The 9,299-nt window shown below is 40.1% G+C and overlaps 1 pseudogene; it reads right to left on the bottom strand.

Annotated features, from left to right (window-relative positions):
• On the bottom strand, positions 6,942-8,177 carry SRD5A3P1 (steroid 5 alpha-reductase 3 pseudogene 1; annotated as a pseudogene).

The following is a 9,299-nucleotide window of genomic DNA, read 5'->3' as shown; positions in this document are numbered from 1 at the left end:
TCACAATCTATACATCTGACAAAGGATTAATATCCAGAATCTACAACGAACTCAAACAAATCAGTAAGAAAAACAAACAAAGAATCCCATCAAAAAGTGGGCTAAGGACATAAATAGACAATTCTCAAAAGAAGATATACAAATGGCCAACAAACGTGTGAAAAAATGTTCAACATCACTAATGATCACGGAAATGCAAATCAAAACCACAGTGCAATACCACCCTACTCCTGCAAGAACGGCCATAATCAAAAAGTCAAAAACAGATGTTGGCATGGTGATCAGGGAACACTTCTACACTGCTAGGGGGAATATAAACTTGTACAGCCATTATAGAAAACGGTCTGGAGAGTCCTTAAAGAACTAAAAGTAGAACTACTCTTTGATCCAGCAATCCCACTACTGGGTATCTACCCAAGGGAAAAGAAGTAATTATTTAAAAAAGATTCTTACACACGCATGTTTATAGCAGCACAATCACAATTGCAAAATCATAGAACCAACCCAAACGTCTGTAAATCAACAAGTGGATAAAGATATGATGGAATGCTACTTTGCCATAAAAAGGAATGAGTTAACAGTATTTGCAGAGACCTGGATGAGACTGGAGACTATTATTCTAAGTACCTCAGGAATGGAAAACCAAACATCATTACGTTCTTGCTAATACGTGGGAGCTAAGCTATGAGGACAAAAAGGCATAAGAATGATACAATGGGCCGGGCACCGTGGCTCATGCCTGTCATCCCAGCACTTTGGGAGGCCAAGGCGGGCAGATCACGAGGTCAGGAGATGGAGACCATCCTGGCTAACACAGTGAAACACCGTCTCTACTAAACATAACAAAAAAATTAGCCAAGAGTGGTGGTGGGCGCCTGCGGTCCCAGCTACTTGGGAGGCTGAAGCAGGAGAATGGCATGAACCAGAGAGGTGGAGCTGGCAGTGAGCCGAGACCGCACCACTGCACCCTAGCCTGGGTTACAGAGCAAGACTCCATCTCAAAAAAAAAAAAAAAAAAAAAAAAGAATGATACAATGGACTTTGGGGACTTGGGGCGAAGAGTGGGGAGGGAGGCAAGGGATAAAAGACTACAAATATGGTGCAGTACATACTGCTCAGGTGATGGGTACACCAAAATTTCACAAATCCCTACTAATACCCGCTGTACCCCAATAACTTATGGATAAATAAATAAGCCAGGTAAGGTGGCACACACCTGTAGTCTCAGCTACTTGGGAAGCTGAGGTGGGAGGATCACTTGAGCCCACAAGTTCAAAGCTGCAGTGAGCTATGATGGCCCCACTGTACTCCAGCCTGGGCAACAGAATGAGACCCTGTCTCTTGAAAAACAAAATTAAAAATATATAAAAGTAAATAAATAAGAAATTCTGTAGTCTCACCTGCCCTCAGAGGTAATCACTATTATCAGCTTGATATATGGCCTTTTATAGACATAGCTGTCTTCATAAAAACATGATGCCATACTATTCTGCCATCTGCAATTACTACTTTGTTGACATCACTCTGAACCAGTAGCTAAGTATCCACCACTTTTTAAAAGTCGTATAAAAATATATGGTAGAGATATTTGACTAACCCATGATCTCTTGGTGAATATTTCAGCAATTTTCAAATTTTCATTATACATTAATATCCTAAAATATATTTTGTTGGACATCTATATAACTGTTTCCACAGAACAAAGTCCATTGCACCTGGCTCATCCATTGATTCTAATTAGCCAATAATTACATAGTATTTCATTACATATTTAGTTCTGTTCCTGAAGTTTCTTTGCTCTTTTGAGTATCTATTCTTGCATCACTATTAAAGTGTGTAAACACTCTAGTTTTATAATATATTTTAATATAGAAAAAAGCCTCGCTTCTTTTTAAAAAAATTTATTGGAACTTCTGCCATGTTTATTCTTTTGAATCAACTTTACAACCATTGTATTAGTTTCCTCCAAAAGTTCCCATTGTTATTTTTATTGGAATTCTATAAAATTTTTAGATTTATTAAAGAAAATTTGGTGTATTTATATGGTATTTCCTATCCAGTAGCAATGTATTATCTCTCTTTATTCAATCTTGTTATATTCCAGATTTTTTTATATTTTTTTTTTATTATACTTTAAGTTTCAGGGTACATGTGCACAACGTGCAGGTTAGTTACATATGTATACATGTGCCATGTTGGTGTGCTGCACCCATTAACTCGTCATTTACATTAGGTATATCTCCTAATGCTATCCCTCCCCCCTCCCCCCTCCCCCAAAACAGGATCCGGTGTGTGATGTTCCCCTTCCTGTGTCCAAGTGTTCTTCTCATTGTTCAATTCCCACATATGAGTGAGAACACACGGTGTTTGGTTTTTTGTCCTTGCGATAGTTTGCTGAGAATGATGGTTTCCAGCTTCATACATGTCCCTACAAAGGACATGAACTCATCATTTTTTATGGCTGCATAGTATTCCATGGTGTATATGTGCCACATTTTCTTAATCTAGTCTATCATTGATGGACATTTGGGTTGGTTCCAAGTATTTGCTATTGTGAACTAGAAATACCCTTTGACCCAGCCATCCCATATTCCAGATTTTTTAAGACTTCCTCTTTAAAGGTGCTACATGTGTCTTATATTTCTTTTCTAAATGTTGTATGTTTGTTTGCCACTGTGACCAAAATTTCATTTCTGCAATATTTGTAACCTATAACAAACATGAAACGTACTTATTATGCTTGTGATCATTGTATGTATTTTCTATATATAGTACATATCATACATATCATGCATTTTCTATATTTTATGTTTAATATGCATGTATATTAAGTACATTAATTCTATTGAGTGTCATTACTTTTAAAATGATAATTTACTGATTTCTCTTACTATTTTAAATTTACTTAAAGCCAGTCCCTTTGGCTGTTCCAGATATGTATATTACTATAAAAAAATTATTTTGCCTCATTCTTTTAAATGTAAGACAGACATTGAATTACCTCAACTATCATAAGCTGATGGCTTTCTGTGACTAAACTCTGTCACCCAGTGATTGGAGGGATTAGATACTGAAATCAGATGACTCTGGAGACCTGTTACATGTTTTCCTACTCATTGCAAATGATGCAGCACCTTATATGAGGAAGCTTCAAGCCAGAATGGCACAGGGGGAGCGTCTTCTCCTGGAAGGTTCCATAGGTAAACTCGCTGGAGTGTCTGGAGCTACTTACATGAATATATCAGGCAATAGTAGGGCAAAGCAAGCAAAGCATGTTCCACTTCTACACATGGCCAGTTTCTTAAAAGAGTAAAGGGTCAAAAAGTAGAAAGATACAACATGAATAGTTGGCAAAGAATGTGATGTTTTGTGTTACATGTTCTCTGAAGGGCCATCATAGACTCACAGAGCTCCTTAGAGAAATGGAAACTTCAAGGCAGACAATAAAGCGAATACTCCCAGAGTCCGCCTGAGTGTGAAGGGAAGTTCAGGGCTTAGCAACTAAAACAGCTGTCCTGCAGTCAGCAAGTATTTTGGAACTAGTGTGCAAAAGAGAAGTAACATGTATTGAGCAGCTACCATATGACAGTCATTTTGCTTCATTTATTCTATTATCAAAGATCAAATATTGGTAACTCTTTCCTATTACTATTGCTTTTTAAATGTTTTATAACTAACATTAAAAAGCAGGAAATTTTATACTAACCTTCTGCATTCTTTTGAAAATTAGAAGATGTACGTTTGTGCTTTGGCTAAATATGGACTATACCCTCAAAAAATGGTTTAGGCTTTCCAAACTACCTCAGTTTTCATCATTTTTCTTTTTTTTATGTTACCTATCTACATGCTATTTATTTCTGAAATTTTTATTATTTTATAAACCTATCTTTCAAAAATGGAAGATATGTACATAAATGTATAAGATATAGATAACTTCCCATGGATGGGACTAATCCAGGGGGGCAGGGGATCAATGGAAGTGCTTTTTTTCTCTCTTTAGAACTTTTTTTATATATATTTACTTTTTTCTGTTTTAAGGTCCTCTTTAATGTATCAGCTCATTTTGAGAGATCTCACTTATCAATGGTTCTTGAGTTTTCAGGTACTTTATGCAAATGTTGCAGCCTCCTTAAACCAAATATCTATTAAACTACGTACAAAAATATCTACAAAGGCATTTTTGTAGGAATTCTAGCAATAACCACACATTGAAGTAAAAATATAATACAGAACACAGCTTGGCAGAGACAAAATAATCCATGCTTACTGTAAGCAAATGTTAGTGTGTAGGATGAGCTTCAACAAAAACAAAGGCTATTTCCAGCACACTTTTTCAATCAGTAGTTAATCCAGGCAAGGCTGCTAATGAGGTAGTTCAATGTCATTCCCCCTAACTTAGTGGTAGTAGAAAATGAAAGATTACGGCTATTCAACTAAGCCAACAGGAAAATCATGACTCTCCACCTCTAAGCTTTTTCTGGATCCTTGTGAAGAATTTGCAAACTCCCTGATGCTCTCCCTTTAGGTACGTGGAATATTTTCACCAATACAAAAAAAAAAAAAACAGTACTGATTCTGACATTGCAAGCACAGCACAATTCTCAATTATTTCCCATAGGTGAAGCTTTCACCAAAGGCCATGCTACTTTGTTCTGAATCCCTTTCAGGACATCACTATTTCCTCTTTTATCTTTGCCTAGAAATGTAATGTTTGGACAAAGAAGGAAAAGGGAAAGTAAGAAGCAGGAATGAGTCAGAGAGAGACAGCAGGAAAAGGAAACGGGTGGGAAACTGAACACTGCAGCTTTCTCACAACCCCTGACAGGGTGTGTCATTGAGCATGCTCATTACTTAACAGTACAATGAGATTCCAGAACATCAGCCAAATCCCTAGTCTAACCTGGGCATAAAATTGCATGCTAAAAATAAAATACATTTTTCCCCAAAAATTTATTTAAAATTAAGCGTGACATTCACGTGGAAATTAAGACCAAACTGCAATATGCTTTTCATTTCCAATGTACAAAGAGTTTTTTTTCTGAGAATGGCAAATTCTAAATAAGTAAAATAAATATGGCATTTATTTAAATAGACTGGGCCACAGATTAATCTTAATTAAGTGGTGTTAATTGTTGGGAGAGAAAATGTTCTATCAAAATTGCTGCAAGAACTTTTGAATGTTCTTGACATGCATGTATTTAAAGATATTAAAAAGATTTTTAGTTTAACAGTTTTGGGTTACAGCTCCAGGGATGGGGCGGGGATGATTGACTACGCATTTGATATGTGTCTTATTAATCATAAGGTTCTTTCCCCCATAGCAAAGTACACATAAATGCAAAGCTTTAGTGCTTGGCTGACTGTAACAGGACATCTGCATAAAAGGAATAAACTTAACACCTCAGCCAATAAGCCGGAAGATGTTATGCTGCACAAACGTGCAGTTTTTACTGTGTTGCCCAGGCTACAGTATTATTTTTCAAGTTTTGGGTTTTCTTTTATACCATGCATTTATTTCCCTCTGAATTAATCACAGGTATTTTCTTTAACATAAGCTATTTTAAATATAAACTTCATTCCTGAATATCTTCAGATACATTCTGTTAGTTCAAATAAACTCAGGCAGACATTAATCCAATTTAAATAACTACATATGAATGAGGCTACTGTATTATTCAATCCAGAGTGTGTCATTTCCATTCAAGAAGGCTTGCTATGCATAAATATATTTTATGTTCTGATGCTTTCACTTTTGAAGTGCTCCCTTCAAAGGACATAAAAGAAATATTAAATAAAGAAGCTTTCAAAACGTTCCATTAGGCTATGATTCGAGGGGGAGATGAGTGGAAATGGCTATTGATAGTTATGTAACTGGAGATCTTTGTGGTAATGCATGAAAGTATAAATTAACTCCAGCAAACTCATTTTTCCCCGAAACTTTTGGTGTAAAACTATATATTATTATTATTTTGAGACAGGGTCTTGCCCTGTTGCCCAGGCTGGAGTGCAGTGGTGTGATCTTGACTCACTGCACGCTTAACCTCCCAGGCTCAAGCGATCCTTCCACCTCAGCCCACCTGCAAGGAGCTGGGACTACAGGTGCCTGCCACCACTCTTGGCAAATTTTTATATTTTTTGATGGAGACAGGGTTTCGCCATCTTGCCCAGGCTGGTCTCCAACTCCTGGGCCCCAGCGATCTGCCCACCTCGGCCTCCCGAAATGCTGGGATTACAGGTGTGAGTCACTGCACTCAGCCTTTTATTATTTTCAAAGTTTATTCTGCTTTTACTGAAATGCAACAAATATTTATTGAGCACCTGCTGTATTATTATATAGTCCATTCCTACCAGGCTGTTACAGCCATTGATGATTTTATTGAAAGATTCTCCCCAGGGCCTGAAAGCTTAGGGGGATGAGTAACTCCTCCCTCCTCAGGCCCAGTCCCAAGGCGCAAGGCCACTTGCACCAGCACTGTGCCTCAGCAAGATAGAAGAAGCAGGAAGTGAGCTGGCCAGAAGACATGTGCCCCCTGCAGATCGAGAGAGAGGCCATCCGGGTACCACGTAGCAGTTACGTCAGACTGGGACACTTCCTGTTTATAGGAAACTATAAAACCCCTGCCCCGTCTTCACTTAGGGCTGACACCATTTTACGCCTCAGCCCGTCTGCACCCAGGTGCTCATTAAAACAGCCTGTTGCTCCACACCGCCTTGTGGTGTTTGTTGGCACGTTCTCGGGTTTCGAACCAATACAAGAGCCTTGCACTTATCTCTTCCTTTGTGTATGTGTGTGTGTGTGCATGTGTGACACTGTTTATATATTTTTGGTTAGTTTGCTTGTGAAGCAGCTTGGAGAAGTCTCATCTACTTTTTACCGGTTGGTTTTTATAGAGTATCTCAGAAAGTGGACACAGAAATCGCAGATCTGCCATTAGTATTTCTTCTTTGAAGACACTGGAGATTCATTTTCTTGAGTGGCACTGCCATGCTCATTCAGTGAAAACTTGTGGGGCATAGAAATGGAACAGAGAGTTTCAAGCAGTTCTGCAGAAACTGTACTTTGGACTCCAGACTTCACTGTCCTTAGGCATGGAAACCATCACCTAGTTTGCATTCTTCATGACTGAGGTTGACTTAAAACAAAAATGATAGGAAAGCTTTCCTATGCTTCGGGTAGGAGACAAATTTACTTTTGTAGAATTTGTGGCTGAGAAAGGCAGGCAGGGCCGGATTGAAGAAGACATATGTCACCACTATTCACCAAGTTGTGGAACCCAAAGGTGACAGCCATGGAAATGTAGATCATCAGATCTGCTAAGTAGTCAGGGGAAGAAAACATTCAAACCAGTCTCCAAATGGGATTCTGTGGTTACAGTGAATGACCACTCCTGCTTTATTTACCCTGAGATTGCCGAGAATGACATGGCACTTATACTGATGGGCAGATGGCCAGATGAATATCATCATCCCGAGAATATGGAACCACCGCACTTGCATCAGTAGCTTTTTCCCTGTTACATAGGCATTCCTGCTATCCATTGGCACTTGGCTCAGCACAGATAGGCCGACAAGGACATAGTAGGCAAGTCCAAAACAGTATTGCACGATGTGAGTCGTGCCATTGGAGAAGACACTGACTTAGAAGCACTCTTCGTAAGCTGCGCAGCCACGGAAATACCAGCACTAAGAACGCAGACAGCGCCAGCTTCCCTCCCTGGAACTGTGCTGCCCTGAGAATTCTGAGCAAACCATAAAGCCAGCTTGGAAAAGATGCTGCCAGGAACAGAGATGGAGTAAGGCACCAAAGCAGGAAGCCATTCCACAGCACTGAGATGATATAGAAGTGGGAGAAGTAGGAAAAAATATCTCTTGGGGACATCAAAGGTGCGACAGGCGGCGGGGCGCGGAGGCCCCCCAACACTTGTTTTCCCAAAGCGGATCAGGTCCTGGAAGAATGCGCGGCCCAGGAGCAGGCCGAGCGGCAGAAGCTGCAACAGCAGGGTCAGCAGGAAGGCGGCGGCCGGCGTGAGCCACAGCAAGCGCAGCGGGTTCAGCGCCCAGAGCTCAGCTCTCCCTGAGGAAGCCATGGCTTAGGCGCCCGCGTTCCGCGCTGCCAGCGCCGCCACCGTCAGCCCGCGGAGTAGTGGCCACTGGCGCGTCGTGCGCCCATCTTAGCCATCTTAGAACTTTAAATCTTTTTTTTTTTTTAGAAGGAGTTTCACTCTTGTTGCCCAGGCTGGAGTGCAATGGCGCTATGTCGGCTCACCGCAACCTCCGCCTCCCGGGTTCAAGCGATTCTCCTGCCTCAGACTCCCAAGTAGCTGAGATTACAGGCATGCACCGCCACTCCCGGCTAATTTTGTATTTTTAGTAGAGGCGGGGTCTCTCCATGTTGATCGGACTGGTCTCTAATTCCCGATCTCAGGTGATCTGCCCGCCTTGGCCTCCCAAAGTGCTGGGATTACAAGCGTGAGCCATCACGCCTGGCAATCCTCCTTTCAAGAATGAAGCATCACAGCTCTGGGACAGTGATTAGGGTTATCACTCTCTGTCTGCCTTTACCACCGCTGGCTCCTATTCTGGACTTGGTGGGCTTTTGACTTTAAGGGACAATGGAAAAACAGAAATATTTTATGAATGAAAGTAATAAGTTCATTCCAAATGAATGCTATCTATGAAAGAGAGAGATTAAATACACAAACTCTATCCATTCTTGGTCCTAATTAATACAAAAATTCTTGCATGTCTTCATTGCTGAAATGGAAACTACCCACTTTTATCGCCATTTTCTGAGTTTTCCAGTTTGTTTTCATTCTTAAATTACCGGGGTTTTTTGAAGAAGGACACGAGGAGTCTGAATATACTGTTTATATTTAAAGGATGATGAAAATGTCTAGTAATGTTTTCAACAAAAGTAACAGGGATTCGTTCATTTCAAATGAATACTAGATATGAAAGAGAGAGAGGCAGGGAGGAAGAAAGGGAGAATGAATAAGTGAACTGTAACCAACTTTAGTCCTAATTAACACACAAATCCTTACTGGTCCCCTTACTAAAATAGAAAGCAGTAGCGCTGTTGGTGCAGCAAGCCTATGTGTGTTGCTTACCTGTTGTCTCACTACCACATGTGCCTCTCTCTGCCCTACAATGTTGGAGCCAAGAGTTCAAAAATTAGATTTTCAAGCCTCACCTTTAGGTTCTGCCAGCAGGAAACACTGATGGAGATTAAAAGATGTCTACCTTCACCCAGTTATTTGAAATAACAAGTATCTAGTCAATAAACCCTATTGCCTAAGGTT

Source organism: Homo sapiens, chromosome 11 (genome assembly GCF_000001405.40).
Source record: "Homo sapiens chromosome 11, GRCh38.p14 Primary Assembly".
Taxonomy (NCBI): domain Eukaryota; kingdom Metazoa; phylum Chordata; class Mammalia; order Primates; family Hominidae; genus Homo; species Homo sapiens.
Note: the sequence above shows the minus strand (reverse complement) of the source record. Positions and strands in the feature narration are given on the sequence as shown.